Below are 22,422 nucleotides of genomic sequence, written 5' to 3'. Positions count from 1 at the left end.
GCAGGAAGTAACAGACTAAGTAGAAAATAACATTTAGTTAATATCATTTCTTCTAAGGTTTTAAGGTAATCACCCTAAATCTGATATATACCAGACTCCAAATAATACCACCTGAGGTAAAATAGCAGCTCTCTAATCTGTTGTAATTACTAGCACTTTACGTTGTCCATAATTATGTTATTAATAATAAACATTGACACTGATTGTATTAGTCTGTTCTCATGCCGCTAATAAAGAAATACCCTAGACTGAGTAATTTCTAAAGAAAAAGAGGTTTAATGGACTCACAGTTCCACATGGCTGGGGAGGCCTCACAATCATGGCAGAAGGCAAAGGGGAAGCCAGACACATCTTACATGGTGGTAGACAAGAGAGCTTGTGCAGGGGAACTCCCATTTATAAAACCATCAGATCTGCTGAGACTTATTCACTACCACAAGAACAGTATGGGGGAAACCACCCCCCATGATTCAATTATCTCCACCTGGCCCCACCCTTGACATGTGGGAATTATTATAATTCAAGGTGAAATTTTGGTGGAGACACAGACAATCCATATCACCGATTGAACATTTCATGCCCAGATTTTAGAGAAGGTGTTGTTTCTGAACAAAACTGTTTCTTTAGTCCTATTACTTATGTGAAAATTACAGCAGTTGGTGATATTTTTCTCTGCAGAGCATATTTGGCTCCAGCTGTACAAACCACTTAAGTTACTGTTAGTGGCATATACAAATTTTGCCAGGCATTCAAAACTCCAAAGTTATTTCATATCAGAGCAATGTAGCCTTCAGTTTTGCATCTCTGAAGGATGAGCAACATTACTTTAAATGACATCCTTTTGTCAGAGTTCCGTGGTCTAAAGACAGAATGAATCCACTTGTATAAATTGTGACTTCACTATTGAAGGATTATAAAAATATATTGTGCTTCACTTAAACCTAAAACTATTAATATAGTTAAATTATGCCATCTTTTCACCAGAAAAAAATATCAAGTGCTTAAAATGCTATCATCAATCACAACTAATTCACTAAATATACAATTGAAGCAGCAATAGAAGAAAGAAAACATTGTTGAGCAGATCATCTGTCACTAAGTCAAACATCTCCATTTTTCATTGGATGAAGTGACTAAAGACTCCCAAGGTCTGTAGTATGGATAATTCAAAATTGAATTCCTTTTCCAAGAGGATAACCCTTCACATACTGTCATTTTGTGGGATGTTTTCTGAGCTGGTATATGAATTTATTTTTAAAAGTAAACCTCCATGACCATTTCTGTCTGAGTCTGTATGTTTCAATTTAGCTGTGAAAGACATTCACCTAGGCATTCCTCACCTCATTTCTTCCATCACAAATAGTTATCAACAGAGAAATATACCTGCGGACTCTTGTTCCTAAAGCCCCAAACTATCTTTTAACTCAGATTTAATTTAGTAGTCGGCCAAGGTCATCAGATGTTTTTCATTACCCGAAATAATCTTCAAATTCAACTTCCTATCCCATTCTCATTGATATTTTCTGTCCTTATTGAGCCTGGCTCCTTTCCAGACATACACATACAAAACATCGCTCTGGGCCAGAGAAATTATCCATCCCATGCAGTGCAATGTGTTTTTCTCTGGCCTGTACCAAAAAATATTTTATAAGAGAAGATGGTTCCTGTAGAATAGACAAAATGTTAAGGAGGTTCTCCTAACTTAATGTCTCCTTAGTATCATTTTTTCTTCCATCCTTTTCCTTACCCCATTTTTTTTTTTTTTTTTTTTTTGTACAGCAAAAGTTATATTGTAAAGGGAACGGTCTTGGGCACTTCTGATTGAGCCAATATAGTAGGATTAACAAGAATCATAGTAGAGTCTAAAAAAAATGCCAAACATTTGCCCAAGGGGCAATTTGGACTTGTAGTTGTACTTTTAGGCTCAAACATACAGGATCAATCAGGATCTGAAGTAAAGCACATGCAGCAAAAAGGAAGTAAATCATAAATACACAAGAGCTGAGCCAACAGCCAAGCCAAGATCACAGTCAGAAGAGATAAAGTTCAAGCTCACAAATGGCAACAGGGTAGGAACACTATATTAGTCCATTTTCACACTGCTATAAAGATACTACATGGCAATGGGTAATTTATAAACAAAATGGTTTAACTGACTCACAGTTCCACATGGCTGCAAAGGCCTCAGGAAACTTACAATCATGGCAGAAGGTGAAGGGGAAGCAAGGCATGTCTTACCTGGCAGCAGGAGAGAGAGGGAGTGCCAGGGAAACTGCCACTTTTAAGCCATCAATATTGTGAGAACTCCCTCACTACCACTAAAACAGCGTGGGGGAAACCGCCCCCATGATCGAATAACCTTCCACCAGGTCCCTCCCTGACAGCTGAGGATTCCAATTCCACATGAGATTTGGGTGGGCACACACAGCCAAGCAATGTCAAACATACAAGCAGGTTACTAATCAACAGGAAAGAGGGACCTCTACATGAACCTGAGGACTGCATCAATTCCTTATGCTCAGTTACTTGTCTTCTCCTTGAGGTTGTGAAGACTAATGGGAGAGGAGGGATGCCACATAAATACCCTGTAATCTTGCCACTCTGAAGTCTTGAAGAACTCAATTTTAAGTAAAGCCAAATCTGTTGGGCCTCATCACAGACGAGCCCATCTAACAGAAGCGAAAGCCACAATGATGTCAGCTTAGTCTAAATTATGGGCACAAAAAGAGATTCTATATTTCCGTGGTTCTTTTTGTCCAACACGCCACTACTCCCTGATGTATTCATATACCACATCCCTAAGTCATCTTCTAATGTAACCCCAAAACAGAGTTTTATAATACTTTGGGTTATCAAGTTTGGTCTTTTACCTCCTTCTACTATTTCCCTCCTGATTTAATATCCCTGATTCTTTTTATCTGGAGCTGGGTGCTTCGGGATCTTATATGTTAGGCTAATTCAAACATCCCCTTGTTTCTAGCCAAAGGCTCCCCTTAATCTTTGGCACATACCCATTATCTGGTACTTAACCAGGTCATTATTTCTCACGTCATCAACCTCTGTGCCATTGCTCAAATCTTCACTCAGTCTGATACATTTCCCTAGTTAGAGGGAACAGGCAGAGGTGGAAGTTGTTCAGAGTTGGGAAGCAGGGCCTAGAATGACTGGATGAATGAAGAGCTGATAACATTAATTTTAAAACACTTAATTATAGCCATTTTATTTTGATGAAATGGGAATATTTAGGCTTGTCATGGTTAAGTTTGATGAGTTATGCTCTTTATTAGGTTGAATCCATTTCTTCAGTGGCTTGACTGGCATCTCTGATATTCTATTATTAATCTCATACTTTTAGCCTATAACAGTAAATTTTGATCAAACCATTCATTTACTTAAGTGTCATGCTAAAAACAAAAACTTCTTCCTCAATCAAAACCATTAAAATTAAAGGTTAATGGCTGTGACTAAATATTCATCCACTCAACTATTTTTTTTAACCCATGGTAACACTTTATATTTTACTGTTGTTCTCCTCAGAGAAAATTCTGGTTTGGATTGCTTTTAAACAGAATTGACCAGTAAGATTGAAACTGGGTACATAGAACCCAAGATTGAGAGTTCCTAGCACCTGTTTCTAAATGGGTAATAATGCCATGTTTTAGTTAATTTTAATAATCCCTATGTTTCTAGTACACCTGACATAGACAGTAGCAAAAAAATAAATACAATTAGGAATATATGCTTTATGTATCCTCAAAGTACACCTGACATATTTTTCAAACTTGACATGAAAATAAAAATCAATATAGATAAAGTATTCCAATTCAGACACATTGTTACCGGGGTCACTTTGAAAAGAACTGCAGCTCCAATTTATTTTGAAACTCTTTATTACTCTCACTGAGATCTAATAAACATGAATTTATATGATAGATGTAGAGACACTTTCTACACTGTTTGTAGCATTGCTTGTAAAGTCTGGTTTACCTGTATTTGATATTAATAAGAATAAAAAAGAAGTAAGCAAATTCTATAGTGCTCAAAACTTCCCCATTCTTGTGCAGGTATACCTCACTTTAAGGAAACCTGACATGTAAATGTAGGTAAAAATAAAGTACTGGGTGACATTTTGCTTTAAAAATACTATAATTTACAAATGAATTCTCACTATTACATAAGTTTTAAAGTGATTTATATGCAACTATAGTTGCTCAGCTCTCAGAAAGTGACAATAAATATGGTATATATATATATATATATATATACGTTTATATTTTTACAATGAGTTTAGTTTCAGAATTTTGATGTAAAAATCAATCAACTAAATGATTTATTAAGAAGTTAAGATTTCAAGACACTTATTTTTATTGTTCCATGTAAGATTTCCCTTCCTGGTCTGAGCACATTCATCAGTATTTGGGAGTGTTATCTACATTTCTATATATTTGTCTATAGTACCATATAGACTAAGTGATATTCTTATACAACCTCCAAAATTAAAATTTCAAAGCAAATATATCTTCATTTCAGTAATGTAATGGAGGCTGTTCTGACTCTTTATCCCTACCAACTCCTTTATCCTTTGGCTGTTGCTTGGCATCCCACCTACTGTTGGAAATGCGTTATTTTAATTTAAGATTTTGGTAACCTGCTCAAATGAATATGGCCCTACTAGAGGAAACACATGTAGCTATTATCAGTCATTTAAACTTTTCTGTGAATTGGTTATTAAATCATATCCTGAAAACTGAGAGAAAGAACTGAGGAAAGACAATACATAGAAAAGTGTCTCTAATAACAAAAAAGTAAAGGAAGCATTTATTGCTAAATTCAAACCTCACTTATTTTTAAATTTTGGCTAGAACCAATTTTAACTGTCAGGATTAATGTGTAATAATTATTTTATTACAATTTTTGGATATATATTTCTACGAGTTTTAACATATGCATAGATGACTGCAATGATCACCACAAACAGGATATAGGACAGTTATAACACCCCAGCATGATTGCCCTCATGCTGGCCTCTGAAGTCAGTCTCTCTCCCTTAACCCCTTGGTAATCACTGATCTCTTCTCTCTCCATATAGTTTTGCTGTTTCCAGAATGTCATCTTAGTGGAAAAAATAAAGTATGTAACTTTTTGGGTCTGGCTTTTTTCATTCAGCATTGTGCATTTGAGATTCATCCATACTGTTGCATGTATCAGTGGTTTGTTCCTTTTCTTATTTATTTATTTTTATTTTAAGTTCTGGGATACATGTGCAGACGTGTAGGTTTGTTACATAGGTATACATGTGCCACGGTGGTTTGCTGCACCTATCAACCCATTACCCAGGTATTAAGCCCCGCATGCATTAGCTATTTGTCCTGATGCTCTCTCTGCCCTTGCCCCCACTCTGACAGGCCCCGGTATGTGTTGTTCCCCTCCCTGTGTCCACGTATTCTAATTGTTCAATTGCCACTTATGAGTGAGAACATGCAGTGTTTGGTTTTCTGTTCCTGTCTTAGTTTGCTGAGGATGATGGCTTCCAGCTTCATCCACGTAACTGCAAAGGACATGATCTCATTCCTTTTTGTGGCTGCACAGTATTCCCTGGTGTATATGTACCACATTTTCTTTATCCAGTCTATCATTGATGGACATTTGGGTTGGTTCTAGGTCTTTGCTATTGTGAATAATGCTGCAGTAAACATATGTGTGCATGTATTTTTATAATAGAATGATTTATATCCCTTTGTGTATAGACCCAGTAATGGGATTGCTGGGTCAAATGGGATTGCTGGTTCTAGATCCTTGAGGAATCACCACACCATCTGCCACAATGGCTGAACTAATTTACTTTCCCACCAATACTGTAAAAGCATTCCTATTTCTCCACAGCCTTGCCAGCATCTGTTGTTTCTTGACTTTTTAATAATCACCATTCTGACTGGCATGAGATGGTATCTCATTGTGGTTTTGATTTGCATTTCTCTAACAATCAGTGATGTTGAGCTTTTTTTCATATGTTTGTTGTTCCCACCAAACTACCATTGACATTCTGCACAGAATTAGAAAAAACTACTTTAAATTTCATATGGAACCATAAAAGTGTCCACATAGCCAAGACAATCCTAAGCCAAAAGAACAAAGCTGGAGCATCATGCTACCTAACTTCAAACTATACTACAAGGCTACAGTAACCAAAACAGCATGGTATTGGAACCAAAACAGACATATAGATCAATGGAACAGAATAGAGACCTCAGAAATAAGACCACACATCTACAACCATCTGAACTTCAACAAACCTGACAAAAATAAGCAATGGGAAAACTATTACCCGTTTAATAAATGGTGCTGGGAAAATTGGCTAGTCATATGCAGAAAACTGAAACTGGACCCCTTCCTTACACCTCATACAAAAATTAACTCAAGATGGATTAAAGGCTTAAATGTGAAACCCAAAACCATAAAAACCCTAGAAGAAAACCTAGGCAATACCATTCAGGACATAGGCATGGGCAAAGATTTTATGATAAAATCACCAAAAGCAATTGCAACAAAAGCTAAATTGACAAATGGGATCTAATTAAACTAAAGAGCTTCTGCAGAGCAAAGGAAACTATCATCACAGCGAACAGGCAACCTACAGAATGTGAGAAAATTTTTGCAATCTACCCATCTGACAAAGGTCTAATATCCAGAATTTGGAAGGAACTTAAACAAATTTACAAGAAAAAAACAATCCCATCACAAAGTGGACAAAGATTTCTTCCTTTTCATTGTCAAGTGGCACTTCATTGTGTGGATGCACCACAATTTTTTAAATTCATTCACATGTTGAACAGCATTTAGTCTGTTCCCAGTTTTTGGCAATTATGAATACTGCTGCCGTAAACAGTCATGTATATATTTTTACGCAAATGTGAGTTTTCATTCTGAGATTGCTGGTCAATATGACAAGTACACGTTTAACTTTATAAGAACCTGCCAAACCATTTTCCAGAGCACTGTATCATCTTGCATTTCTACCAGGAATGTATGAGGGCTCTAGTTGCTTCACATCCTTGTCAGCACTTGGTATTGTCAGTATTTTTTAATGTTAACTATTTTAATGAATGTTAATGGTAGCACATTGTGGTCTTAACTTGCTTTTCTCTAATGACTAGAAATATTTAACATCTTTTCATGCGCTTATTTAGCATCTGTATATCTTCTTTGGTCAACTATCTGTTCAATCTATTTTTCATTGTGTTGTTGGTTTTCTTATTATTGAGTCTAAGAGTTCTTTAAATATTATAAATTCGAGTTTGTTAGATCTGCAATTTGCACATATTTCCTCCTAGTCTGTGACTTGTCTTTCTTTATTTCATGAAAGACCAGTGTCTTTCACAGAGCAAAGTTTTAAATTTGATGAAGTGTAATTTATCATTTTTTTTCTTTTATGGATCATGCTTTTGGTGACATATCCATATCATTAACTTTTGCATTTCTGTCTGGTCCATCTACTTGCACACAAGAGGTAGAAGGTGAGTATGAACAGGTTAAGTCAAATTGCTTGGAATTCTGTCCCAGCTCCACAACTGTAATCTCTGGTCACTAAACATCTTTGAGTCTGTGATCCCCTCTTTCTAAAATGGGGACAATAATCACGGGACTGTCTACCTCAGCTTTATATTTTCAAAGCCTAATGACACTGTGGACAATTAGTAGGAACTTAGTAAATATGTAAAGGAATAGGGTAGTTGCAAGTCAATTAAGCTCACATAAGTAAATTAGAGAGTGCTATCACATATAAGGCATTATTGTTATGGAGCCAAATCTAAACATGGATTCATAGATGTTTGCTTGAAGGAATATTAGAGGACATAGCTATGGCACCTTATATTCATCTCACCCAATTTCCTAATTTTATAGATGCCGCAACTAACAGAACCATTTAATTCATTTAGGTTTATTTTGCTTCAGTAAAATAAACTAAGAATTCCTACCATTTGACAAGAAGTTTTAATAAGCTAAGATCAATGGAACTAGCTAAATATTTGATGATTTCCAACTCTCAAAGTGTACAAATGTGAGAAATGTGGGGTTTTTTCCCACTCCGGGAAAAAACACATATTGATAGTCACTATATTGTGCTCAATAATAGCCATGTGTGTCAATTTCTTAACCAATCATAGCTAGACTAGCATATTAAACTTTGAACTACATGGAAAGTAATAAAAGGATAATAAAAGTGTATCTTCTATACCAATGAGCAAGTCATTTATTAAAGACAAAAATAACCTTGTATATTAAAATTCAAGTTGATCTAAAGATTCATGCTCAGACATGGTCTATAACATTACAAGTGTTAGTTTCCCATCTGCCACCAAGACAAAAAAATCAATTATTATACAGACTGGCAAATAATTGTTTAAATAGAGACAATGACTTGATGAGAGAAAACTTTGGGTTAAAAACAACAAATTGGTCATTCAAATTAGCAATGGGTTCCCTGGGTATGGTAAGTAGATTTTCTAAGGCCTGGCTGGCACTCTGAAATTGGTATCTGTATCCTAGGGTTTGCCCTGAACTCTCTGAATTCTCCCTTATCCCACTCCCCAAATAACCTTGTACAAAAAATAAAATATACATTGTTTGTCTAGAAAGTCTTGAGATGAGTCTTTCAGAATTTTCTAGCATTCTTATCAGAGCCTGATTTCAAAAAACTAAAAGCAAATTGAACCAAACAAAAGCAAAAAAAGGGGGGGCTTAATGATAGTTCTAGATCAAACACTGAGAGAACCAGCCACATTTTTCCTATCTGTATTTCCACAGCCAACCACAGGGAAGACTTTATGAGTGATCAGTGGCCTACAGGACTGTGATTTCAGTGACAGTAAGAAAACCTTCTATATCACCTATACCTCTCCCATACTGAAGAATGTTCAGAATAGCTCTCATTAGTCATTTTTTGGACCCAAGACACACTCACATGGGAAAGGCAACATATTAAGCTTTTCACCCATCATTAACACCTTAGAGCAAATGAGCTCACCCAACATTTTCCAGATGTTTTGATATTCCAAAGAGAGTGGCTGAATGCCTAGGGAGGATATTAAGCACAAGATGTGATTGTTGTGGTGGGAAAATTCCAGAGTGAGAAAAGTGAAAAAAAAAAAAAAAAAAAAAAAGGCAAATTGAAGACACTGAATCTACTACCCAAATTTTCTGGAAGCTTAGTCCTGTGTACTGAAATCTTAGAACAAGAAGGTTCTTGGTTTGGTAAACTAAGCTTGTCAATAGTTGATAAACCTGGTCACAATTTTGGCCAGAACATGTCCAAAACCCACCTGGATCTCATTTCCTGCAGTATTCAAAGCGTCCATTACAGATTTCTCAACCCCACTTTCTTTTGCAAGGCCCCCTTTGCACCAACATTTCTGTTCCACTGTCTCTCTTCTCTCTCTGAAATTTGCACGAGTTGCATGTGCTTCATTCTCATAGATTCACTTATAACCCCTCTTTATTTCCCATATCTTCTTGATAAATGTCAAGTATAGAGAATATCTAGAGTAAACAGTTTCTTATGTGTCTCAAAGACAGACATCAGAACTATAAGGATGGGGAACATATTATTTCTGGAGTTGGGTCTTCCTAGAACCTCTAACAAATGCTCTCTCTTTGCCTAAAGCCGTCGAAAGTTTTGTTGAGCAGCTAGAAGAGATTTTTAATGTTTTAAGGGAAGAAGCTTGGTTAAAAATAAACAAACTCAGATCCTGTTATGGAGATTTGGAAATATCAGAGGTCAGATCATGTTCCCCAAGGCATAACAGAAGTCTATAGGAAAAGCCTGGAGAATACCTATAAGGGAGGTTATGGTGCTGAAACACCAGTACTAGATACAGAAGGTTGCCACTATCCATCTGCTTCATTTTGGTGTTTGAGTTTCTATCAAATTTGCTAGGTGAAAAGCTGGGTGTCTAATGGAGATGGCCTCTCAGATCACATGCCAGCTTGCCTATGCTAGAAACTTTGTGGCAAGCCACCTAGTTAGACCGTATTCGCTCTCTGTACTTAACTTTTCATCCTATTCAATTTGAGTTTCAGGTCAAATCCTTCATAACCAATCCTGCCAACAGTAAAACACTTGCTACCACCTCAGTAAATATTTAGATAAAGTCATATTACACATGAACTTTATGTGCCAGGATGGAATTGTAAATGCTTTGAAAATTGCTTTGCTTCATTAAATGCTAATTTTTCTTCAAGTTTTACTAAATAAGTTTTACTGAAATAGCTAGCATATGACTTCATGAGTTTGCAGAGTCGGTAGCATGCTGTGCAAGAGAGTCCATTTAATGCTAGAAACTACATTGTGCTTAGTAAGTGAACATTTTAATTATGCAGCCAAACAATTCTTTAACAGTAAATATTAACCCAAATAGATCTAAAATGCTACTTCAAAGATATGCTATAGTTGCAATGATATCTTTCCAGAAAAGAAACTATAGGTCAATTCAATTTACAGATTGCCAATAATGTCAGTTTATATGGTTTCAAATGCCCTTTAGTTAGGTAACTATTAGCAGAAGTTTTCAGTATACTATCATAGTCATGATGAATATAGACATGATGAATATAGAAATTTTAATGAGAAAAGATGATATACAAACCTGGCAACAAGTGTTTCTCGAATGATCTCAGGGTATAACATGATAAACTAGTCACAGTCCTCAAATTTGATACTAATATTCTAACAGAAAATGACAACCAATTAAAATGTGTATTATGTAACTCTATTAAGCAAGGCTCATAATTATATGGATTAAGATATAGTAGAAATAATACTATGTGCCTCCAAATAGAATAACCCCAGATAATAAAAATTCTATATAGTAAGGCTAGCTTATTAAGGGATGACACATAATTTTTATCTCACATGACAACTCTAGTCTGATGGTAATGAGTACCTGGAATTCTTGAGAAATACTTTGTGGCCATATAGGCACTCAGAAGGAAAGAGTACTACCGGTGATTGGCAATGTCTACTATGGGTGTTGTGAATTGAAATGGCAGCACAAATGCCAGGTATGTTTTGTCCTTGTTCTATCAAAAGAGCTTGCTCAATCTTCCTGCCCCATATTATTGTCATACTGGGGTTAAGAATCATTAATGCGAATTGTAGAGAAAACATGAGCAGGAGAATGTGTTGGTTAACTACAGACAGGGCTTGGTTAATCCAAGAAGATTTTCTGGAAAATAGGTCATGAGAATTTCCCTTTATTTTGTGTAGACAGCTCAAAAAATTTTGTTCTCTATTTTATTTGGTATTTACAATAGCAAATGGAGCCAGACTCTAAAATCACAGTTGACCAACAGATGCTCCTCTCTACTATAAACCAGATACAAAAAGAAAAACCTGAGATTGAAGGTATTAGGTGTGTAACAAGAGTTAATTCTTTATACCAAGGTTCTGAAAAGTATGCTATCTATAGCCCACGGGTTAAACTCAAGCTAAGGCTTCTTTTTGCATATAAAATGTGATTGGAATACAGTCACTCCCATTCGTTTACATATTGTCTATTGTTGTTTTCATGCTACAAGGGCAGAGTTGAGTAGCTGTGACAGATCATTTGGTTCACAAAGCAGAAAATATTTTACTATCTGACCCTTTACAGAAAATGTCCGCTGACCCCTGGGTTACTAGAGCATTGTTTGCCAAACATAGTCTGTGGTCAACTAGTTTTATAATTACCTGCCTTGTTTGTTAAAGTGCAGATTCTTGGGTCAACACCAATCCATTGAATGAGACTGTTTTTTGTATTAGCCAAAGAATCTGCATTTAATCAAGCATGACAGTTGATTCTGAAGCATATTAAATTTTGAAAACCACTGTTTAATGTCACCAAATTTGATAAGTATAGATTATGAATCAAATCTCTGACAATAAAGGATGCCTGCAGTATCTTTAATCTGCCAGATTGATTGAATATTTTCATGATGCTCCTAGAGCTACATAACAGAAATTCTATTTTTCATCCCTTGAACATTCAGCAGTTTGCCCATGCTGAGGTTCAGCTATGACTTATTAAGAACTTGAAGCTAATTTTCACAATTTTTGATCAATGTACTAATTATGTAATCCCATTTTTATTTAGAATCTGTACAGTATTACACAAAGTGCTAAGTGGTGAACGATTTCTTTGTTAAAATATTTAGTGTAGGACACTGGGATTCTTATTCTAATCTTATTTTTATATTTCAAAGCTTTCTTCAGTAACGTTTGGCATGGCTTTTGCTTCAGATCAAGATATTTCCGGATATTATTTAGTTTCTGTCTTTGGGGCAGAACGTGTCTCCATCTAATCCAGCAGACTGCCTCTGGGGAAAGGAAAATCACAGGTTTTTCAGATTTAGGGGAAAAAAATACAAGCATAGCCTACCAAATTTTCAAGTCTCTGAACTAAATACAAATTCTCAAGCCACCTGACCTTTGTGCACTCATTTTACGTAAAGCATGGTGCTCTTAGGAGTCAGAAAATAAATGAGGGCTAAGCAGCATGAATGATTAGTTCTATAGGAGGGACATTATATCCTCAAAGCATCCAGATCAGCAAACTATACAAATGTACCACAGGTTTAGTATTGACTAAATCTTGAAAGTCTGCTTTAAATCTTTTCTGCCTTGTCTCTTAATTATGTATGTTGGAAATTGTAAATACCATTGATTGTTTTCATTTGCTAAATGCAAAAAGAAGGTGAACACAACTCCCTCTTTTCGCAGAAGTGAATAAAAGGAGCAGGAGATGCAGGGTGAAGGTGGGCTCAGATGACCCCTAGAGATTTAGGGGGAATCTCAGACAGAGTTGGATGTTGTCGGGAACTCTGACAAAAATGGTTTCTGAGATTGTCAATGCAAATGTCATTTGGACGAAGTATAAAGTCTGAGTTAACAAAATCTTGACCTGGAAATGAGAATAAGTCCAGGAGTTAGTAAAATTTAGTTTCAACAGAGAAAAAGAAAGCTACTATATTTGTTTGTATCCCTTGGAGTCTGGAACTGGGCAGTTTTTACAACTCACACAAATTTTATATTAGTACTGTCTATATGTAAGAAATCTTAGGCCTTTGGAAATACTTGATAGTTCAATTTATTTGGTGCATCAAATATTTTGTAGTTTTTTGTTTTAGATATTAGTGTTTTCTTCATTTGATAATACTTTCTGAAAATAAAGCTAGATGTTACTATATGATTCAATTTTACTTTCTTTTGTAACATTAATATATTTTATTCACAATTTCTATTTTATTTTCATTTTTCCCATATAGTGTTTTGAATTTGTATATATTCAAAGCATATTTTTCAATATTTTAAATTAGAATCCTTTTCGGAATATTTCAAACCTCCAACATCTAGTTACAATGAATTGTATACATATTATTTTAGATCCTTTCAATAGAAACTGAATCAGAAACTCAATCACCATTTTGCTAACTGTCCCTTCCTGTTACTGATAGAGGCCAGCAGTTAGTAGTTAGTCTTAAACCATAATCTAAATCTCATCTACACATGTTGCCCTCACACAAGGAGTTCTCAAAATGTCAAAGAGATGAAGAAGTTTCCTTCCTAGGAAGACAGTCTTTTTGGATTCTTCTTCCTCTAATGGCATCAATACGCTTTCAGATTTGATCCAATTTGATTAAACAATAATTACTGAATGTCTACTAAACACAAGGATTGGTGCTAGGAGCTGCAAATCAGCAAGGTCTGTACATAGTACACAAATCTGCTGCATTTATAAACATGACTCCAGAAAGTTAAGAGACATGATATTTACTAGGAAGGATACAGAGACAGAAGCAATATATCCTAAAGTAAATAAAATATATGGGGTAGTTCCATTTGGAAAAATCCTTCTCAGGGCCTAGTTATATAAACCCCTCTATTGAACACATGTCTGATTCAGGGGCAGAGACAACAGCTGCTGAAGTCATAGGGTGTTAGAGAGTTCCAGAACAGGTGAAGATAAAGAATTTGAGGAGAGTGGGAGACAGTATTGTGCTGGCAGCAGGAGGCCTGATCAGGAGCTTGCACAAGCCCTGTCCCCTAATCCAGGCAAAGAAAGCATGGAGCCCAAATAGCAATTAATCCAAGATGACATGATCAAAATGGCTTACTAGGCCTGGTTGGCCAAGTTCCCAAAGGACTCTCTAGCTCCCATTAGGAAATCTGCTGTTTGTGACAAAAATAACATGGTATATTGTATTGCTGCAAGTGTGGTGTATTTACAACAAAAATCCAACTTTGAACCCAAACCACTTTGAGCATAAGAAATGAAAACAAAAATGTTTCCCTTCTTTATATTTCTTCCTTTCAAAATAAATTATTCATATAACCTTAATTTCAAATCATTGAAGTGTAATTGGGACTATCCAGGCTTTCCTAGCCCAAGGTTTTCTCTGGTGGGGTCTGAGGGTACATGGCCATGCCAAAAGTATAAAAACACCAGACCTCAGGATGGCATGTCTGCACAATGAGGTGTGGGAGAAGGAACATTAGCAATTCATTTATTCATTTACTTACTCATTTAATCAGCAAATATTTAATTATCTACTCTGTACCAATGATTGTATTAGATGTTGGGGATACAGAGTTAAGAAAAAAAAAACATAATCCCAGTCGTTATGAATATAACAATGGGAGGGGGCAGGCAATAAAGAAGTAAATAAATATAGAATTATAAATTACAAAAAATAATCCCTTGAAGGAAAGGAACAATGTAAAATGAGAGAGAATAACAAGGAGTAGAATAGGGGCTAAGGAGAGGCTACTTGGCTACTTGGGATGGCCAAGAAGTTTTCATGTAGGTGCCTTTATAATGAGATCAGAAAGATGAGAAGTTGCCAAGCCAGTAAGAGCATCCCAAAATCCCAGGTAAATGAAATCTCATGTATCACACCCTGAGGTAGGTAGAATATAGTGTGTGAGAGGAGTTCAAAGGTCAGAGGGAGAGTAAATTATGAAGTTGCTGTGGTAGGCAGGGGTCAGATGACATAGTACTTTACAGACTAGTGGTTTGGATCTCTCCTAAAGGCTTGTTCTGTCTGTTCAGTGAGCCTCACCATTCATTCATTCATTCAATCAATCAATCAATGTTTATTGAGTGCCTGCTATGTCTGGGTACTTTCCTAGTTCAGAAATATATATGGTAGGGAGCAAAACAATTAATTAATCAATCCCTGCCCTAATGGATCTGACATTCTACTGGGAGGGAGACAGGCAAAACATAAAAAAAAAAAAAAACAGAAAAAATAAACAAGAAAATTACAGATTTTGATACATGTTTTGGCAGAAATAGACAAGTGTTACAGACAGTAACAGGAAGAGGGGGCACCTTTAATCAATTTCATTTCCTGACAGGGGTCTGGGCTTAGTCAGGCTGGTTTGTTGATGTTCTTTTTGTTGGTGTTAGGATGGGGTTTTTTGTAGCATTTTTTTAAAATAAACTAAATTAAATCTGGAAAATTGTTGGTGTCATCAGAGATAGCACAATTTCACTCCTTTATTTTCTAGTTCCCCAACTTAAAAAATAAATCCAAAACTTCATTTCAGTACCTTGTGAAAATAATTAGGAGTTGGAAAAGATAAGGTCAGGACACTCTGTCAGCTCCCCTTTGTTCAGATAATGGGTTTGCTTACACGAATCAGCAAAGGAAAAAAAAAGGATAACATGAGAGGGAAGTTACACTGAGTCAAAAAACTGGCAAGTGTCATTTAATTTTAAACTTCCTGAGTCCTATGCATAAAAATTGACTTCAGGAAAAAAAAAAAGTTAAAAGAGCAGCTGCAGTCCTAACAATTCCTGAGGTGGGGGTGGGGAAGGAGATGTTCCCATTCACCTTAATCAAATTCCTTTCCTTTTTCCTGTATACTCAATTTCCCTTTTCCTGACTTTACTCTCATCGTCTTTGTTTCCTCCTCCGTATTTTTCTTTTTCTTCCCCTGCCTGTCTTTGCATTAAGTTGGCCAGGTCCTTAATTTAGAAGATGACATTTGGCACCCTCATTGCATTCAGTGCAGAGAGTTGTTGACCTCAAACCCAAGTAATCTCCTTTACTATGTCCATACCCTTCCAAGGTTTAGTCAGAATGCTGTTCTCAGTGAGCGGTCTGGGTTGTGACAGCCTCTTCTCAGCAAGGTAAGATTTAAATCTCTCTCCTCTAATTTGACTGTTCTCTGGAATGAAAGATGCTGGGTTATCTGTCAGGACAGTAGCTGCCCTGGATTTCTTTCAAGTCTGACCCTGCTCTGGTGGCTCAGTTGGATGGAGACCCAGAGTAAAGAGCCTGTACTTCCAAGCCCAGCTGGCAACCAAAATAGGACTCCCCCGGGTGATGTCCCACAGAATTACAAGGCATGGCAGAGGTGTGAACTGAGCTAAGCAAGAGCTAAGCTTACCACCAAGAAGGAAGACAAGGTGGAAAGAAAAGGATTATCAGTACACACTTAATCCCTTTGTTCACTGTTTTTTTTTAATTTTTATTTTTTATTTTATTCATTTATTTTTTTGAGACATAGTTTCACTCTTGTCACCCAGGCTGGAGTGCAATGGAATGATCTCCACTCACTGCAACCTCCTCCTCCCGGGTTCAGGCGATTCTCCTGCCTCAGCCTCCAGAGTAGCTGGGACTGTTTACTGTTTAACTAGCTTCTCCACAGTACCCCCATCCCCAGATTCAATGTACGTCCTCTGTATCATTCCACTTCCTGCTCCATTTGAGTACTGCGAAAGGAAAATAAATCTTGGGGCCCCAAAATCACTAAGCTAAAGAGAAAAGTCAAGCTGGGAACTACTTAGGGCAAATCTGCCTCCCATTCTATTCAAAGTCACCCCTCTGCTCACCGAGATAAATGGATATCTGATTGCCTCCTTTGGAGAGGCTAATCAGAAACTCAAAAGAATGCCACCATTTCTCTCTTATCTACCTATGACCTGGAAGACCATTCTCCACTTTGAGTTGTCCTGCCTTTCCAGACCGAACCAATTTTCATCTTACATATGTTGATTTATGTCTCATGTCTCTCTAAAATGTATAAAACCAAACTGTGTTCTGACCACCTTAGGCACATGTCATCAGGACCTCCTGAAGCTGTGTCACGGGTGTGCATCCTCAACCTTGGCAAAATAAACTTTCTAAATTAACTGAGGCCTGTTTCAGATTTTTGGGGTTCACATTTTGGTAACCATGAAGGGATTCTGAATAAAGATGCCCCTTCCTTTTGACAAATCTCCTACTGGTGCTTGGTACAAGTATGAACTAACTTTATGGCTCAAACCAATAGGAAAATTTGCTTAGGTCTAGGAGCACCCCCTCCAGATAATCCCTGATCTCCCCAAATTTGGTCAAGATCTAAAGTTTATTTTGCTGTCAACACCCTTTTTTTTTTTTTTACTTGTTTCCAACAAGGAAGGCAAGATTTCCTGTTTCCATGATGATGGAAGGTAGGTAACTCCTTTATGGAGTTTGAGTTCGCTCCCAGTAGGGAAGATGAGTTTGAGGATTTTTTCTCCTGCTTCTAGAATGGTAGAAAGCCATCTTCAGCCTGAGAACCATCCCTAGGTAAGTAGCTGAATTGGGGTTTTGCCTTGGCTAAAGTTTAACAACTAACTTGTCTTAATTTCTCCTTACCATTAGAGTGCTCAGTGATCATATTGTTGGGTTTTTGTTGTTGTTGTTGTTTGTTCCATTCTTTCTCCCATCAGATTTGACCAACTCTACCTGACTGGGTCAAATCTGAGTGAGAATTCCAAATTATGGGTAACAAAGTCTCTCTAATATGGCCAAAATTCCTCACAGCTGCAAAAGAGAAAGGAAAAAGAAATCTCTCAAAGAGTGAAGGTTCTCACTTTTTGTTTGAAATCCTTGAGTTATCACTTTGGCCAAATGAATGACTTATTTTACAATGACCTGTGATATCATGTGTTCTAACTTTTGGATATTTGACAAACTTACCAAAATCAAATTATAAATTATGTCTTTTTCTGACCTAATTAATCCTTTAAGATATTAGGTTTCCTGAAGTCCAAAAATGACAATTTGGTTTATTCGGTATGAAAATTATACAGAAAACACTGTCAAATATGAAATGGCTTTTAGTTTTCTTTGCACCGTGTTTGTATACATATGTTATTGCTATGTGTTCCAAAATAATGGGAAACTCCTATAATTCTGATATGACTTAGTGGACATTATCAGTAATAATTATAATTGTTATGTTAAATTATTAACATAATTTTTTGTGTGCAACAAAGGCAACAAATTTCCTTGTCAATTGTGTCCTTGACTCTGGCTGCCCTAAAACTTTTTGTCATCTGCAGACAATTGTTGTCTTGTTTTGGTCCTCTTTAGAAGGTGGTTTTATAATCAGCTATAAAACTCCCACAGGTGCTCTTGAATACAAGTTTCTGATAACTTTGAAGATTGTAACATCAGAACAGAAGTAAAACTTTTAGAACTCATGGAGAACTGAAATGTTCATGAATATCAAGCAGAACAGGAATTAACTACATGGACTGAACTAGTAGAAGACGGAAGTAATCTTTTTGACTTTTTGCTTAAAACGTTGCTGATCCTTTGTTCTGTTTTTCCAGAGTCAAGGAAACTTTTCTTTTGAGCTATTGGCAGCTTTTAACAATTTATTATACTTCTATGAACAAAATTTAGAATATATTTGTTTCTCTCTACCTGAATTCTCCAGTATTTGGAAGCTATTTATGAGTATTCTTAATATTTGTTATTTGCACAAGTGAAATAACAATCTGTTTTCCTCTATAACAGGACGCAATTGGAGAAACTGGTTATTTTACTAAGGCTTTGACTGGAATGGTGTGCTTTCCTTTAAGGAATCAAACTTGAATTGTGGAGCCAATAAAAGCCCCTTGGGAAAACTGACTTTATACCTTGTCTACACATTCCCTGTACAGGGGTCCTAACCCGGGGTAAGTAAAGAATGTCACTTTCTGACAGGACCAGGAGCCCCCAGGTTTATCTTGGAACCTCAAGAGAAGAGGAATTCACCCAAATCATAGGCATTTGATGGTATAAATCCAAGGCTGGGCTCAGCTTTAAAAGTCTTATCTGAGACTCCTATGAAACAAAATTCCATCAAAGCCAATTTAAAAGCTTCTGTAAAAAATGTTATTCTTGCTGCACTGTATACAAATAATCAGGCCAAGTATAATAAAACAAATCAGTCCTACCATAATTTGTCTTTAGTAAAAATGGAAAACTGGAGAGAGAAAAAATATGTTTAAAAAACTGTAGTAAACGTGTTGTTAGATTCTAGTCTTGCCTAATGTTTTTCAATTTTTATTATTTTCTATAGTTTGGAATGAATTCTAATTTTTCTTGGCTGTAAGTCTTCAAAATAATGTTTTCAGTTATTTCTCCTTCTCTTTCCCCACATTTTTCTAACTTGGAGTCACTGAAAACTAAGCTGTGCTTTTGTAAAGCCCTGTGAACTGAAGCTAGACAACTTAAACTTCAGAAGAAAATAACAGCAACCTATTTACCTACATAAACCATTTTCATAGCTGCCTACTGATGTATGGACTTCAGAGTAATGTGCCTTATATTGATTTTCCAGGATGAGTAAAGACTCATCCTTTGGTTTGTTGTTGTTTTTCTCCCCTCTTCCCCCTATTTTCTCTTCATAAACATGAGACTTCACAATTTGCTAAAAATGAACTTTCCTAATAACTCAGGACCTACCCATCTAGGAATAAACCATTCTAGCCATGATCTATCAGACGAAACCTGAGATCATAGACTTATTTTCTTCTAAAATGCTTTCTCCAAAAGATTTTTAAAATGAGAAGGGGGAATGTGTGACAGGAAAATAAATATTGGGGCCCCAAAATCACTAAGCTAAAGGGAAAAGTCAAACTGGGAACTGCTTAGGGCAAATCTGCGTCCTGTTTGATTCAGTTACCCCTCTGCTCACTGAGACAAATGCATATCTGATTGCCTCATTTGGAGAGGAAAATCAGAAACTCAAAAGAATGAAATCTTTTGTCCCTTATCTACCTTTGACCTGGAAGCCCACTCCCCACTTTGAGTTGTCCTGTCTTTGCTTCTAGTTGTCCCCCACCTTTCTGAACCGAACCAATGTTCATCTTGCATATGTTGATTGATGTCTCACATGTCTCTAAAATGTATAAAACCAAACTGTGCTCTGACCACCATGGGCACATGTCATCAGGACACGCTAAGGCTGTGTCACAGGTGTGCATTCTCAACCTTGGCAAAATAAACTTTCTAAATTAACTGAGACCTGTCTTAGATTTCTGGGGTTCACAGTACTATTCTTATTCCCAGTGATGTGATTGTCTTGGCACAGGTTTCTCAGATCTGTCTTTCGCTTTTTGAGGAAGTTCAGAAGATGGGGCTCTTTTGGTCTGGAGAAGCCTGAGTGTAAGGTTAAATTCAACTGTAACCCTGATACCTGTAAATAGGCTAGTGGGGCTTGTCAGTCAAATTTCTCACACTTCCCAATACTGAATGAAGTGTTGCTGTCATTTAAGTGGCAAATCTTAATCTTAAATACTCAGCCAACATTTAAGTTATTAGAAGCCATTTCTGAGTGAACAGCTCAATCCAGCATAGCTACTAATTGAGGGACATAAACCTGTGGATATTTTGTTTCATCAATATAAATGTAACTTTTAATGCAATTTTGTTTTTTGATACGCACACTCCTTAGGCCCTGAGACAGAATTGGCTAAGCAAAATAAGGAGTCCCTGATGAACCAAGCACATGTGTGACCATGGAAGGGTCATGTGAAGTTGCTGGACACACAATATTGGGGAGAAGTTTCTAGGATTTGGGGTTAATACATAAAAACTTTCTCTGAACTAGAATTGTCCAACAATGGACTATGCTGCCTTGAGTCAGTGAACAGCCACATTTTAAGGTTTTTGTAAAGAGGATTCCGCATTGAGTAAGGAGTTGAATTAGATCAGTAGTTCTGAATAAGTGCATAGACTTGTTGTGGTGACAGTACTTAGTAGGTAGTTTCAGATTTCCTGAATCAAAATTTCAGAGTGGAGCCTAACACTATATTTTCAAAAAGTACTTTAGGTGCTTTATAATGTGAAAGCAGGTTAGAAAATCAGTGAACCAAAGAACTTCAAAAATCCCTCCCAGGCTAACTTTTCCTTTTATCTGTTGTACTCAGAAGAAAAAAAAAAACCTGGGTTAGTTTTCTTATCTCCAACATTTTTTTTTAATGTGGAGGAAAGTTCAAAACACTGGATCATACATGCCATCATTTATCAGTAACAAATACGCATTTGTAACTATTTCATCCTTTCACAAATGGTCTCACTTTATAACAAGCTGAAAAATTTTTTGCAGATAACATTTTGTATTATTCAATTTACAGTCTACAAAAAAAGACTGACAAGATGAAGCAATGTCTGATGAAAGAAGATGTAACTGGTTTTTAAACTCCTACTTGACTTCATTTACTGAATCAAATATTATCCATCAGATTGGAGTTGCCTCTGGGTTAGACTTGCTGATTCTGCACTCTAGCAGCTTTGCAGACCAAGCTGTCAGCAAAAGAATATATATAATTGTTGGTACAAATTTGCTGTGATACTTGCATTGCTCCCTTGGTTTGTAATAAATATAGAAGTTTTTTCTTTACATCTGTTGCCTTCTCATGCGGATGTGTTTGTGATCATTTGCTCAAAATATAGTAGCATGCAAGTCTATTTCTGGAAAACAACAAACAACATCCCCATTCTCAATTCAGTAGAATTCGTGCTTTGAAAAAGCCTTCTGGAAATAGTGAGACGTGGAATCCTTGGTAGATATAGAATGAAGACAGATATTCAAAGTAACTGTGTATGTGGTGACTGTAAAATATACTTATTATACCGAATGCTACTTCTATCACAGGTCCATCTAATTTTCCTAGAAAATCAGGAAAATATAAATGTAAACCTTGTGGTTTCAAAAAATATTATTAAGATTATACTTCTAAAGTAATAGTGGATTGATAATACATGCCAAACTCTATGGAAAAATGTACCAGTATGATGAAATTTTTCTTTATAACATAGATGTTTTCAAGATGTGGCTGCTGGCCAACTTGTTTCAGGATAAATTTTACCGAAACACTCCCTGAGCAATTGCACGTTATAGATGTTCCCTGGACAATTGTTATAAGTTACCAGGTGTTATTCTAAATTTTCAAAGCACTTAAATATAAAACCAATCTAGTTTTTGTGGTTCTAACTAGGTGATGCAGTGTTTTCACTCTCAAGCCAATGACTGTGGAGATTAAGGAAACTGCTAATGTTTGCAGAGTAAACCAGTGATGCTACTGAGGATGACAAAGCATATGATCCATTAGGGACTTTTGTCAGTTGTTGTTGAGCCAT

At 36.3% G+C, this 22,422-nt stretch overlaps 1 protein-coding gene across 2 annotated transcripts in view, besides 1 other annotated feature; it reads right to left on the bottom strand.

Moving 5' to 3' along the window:
• Nucleotides 1-22,422, bottom strand: part of IL1RAPL2 (interleukin 1 receptor accessory protein like 2) — a 1,201,631-nt gene that overhangs the window by 326,539 nt on the left and 852,670 nt on the right. The gene's annotated exons all lie outside the window — the stretch shown is intronic.
• Nucleotides 15,551-16,052: an enhancer, noted in NCBI's record as "NANOG hESC enhancer chrX:104669910-104670411 (GRCh37/hg19 assembly coordinates)". NCBI's record gives its function as "activates a minimal SCP1, AML or CMV promoter by ChIP-STARR-seq in primed H9 embryonic stem cells {active_cell/tissue: H9 hESC(primed)}" and the evidence as "EXISTENCE:reporter gene assay evidence [ECO:0000049][PMID:30033119]".

Source organism: Homo sapiens, chromosome X (genome assembly GCF_000001405.40).
Source record: "Homo sapiens chromosome X, GRCh38.p14 Primary Assembly".
Lineage (NCBI taxonomy): Eukaryota > Metazoa > Chordata > Mammalia > Primates > Hominidae > Homo > Homo sapiens.
Note: the sequence above shows the minus strand (reverse complement) of the source record. Positions and strands in the feature narration are given on the sequence as shown.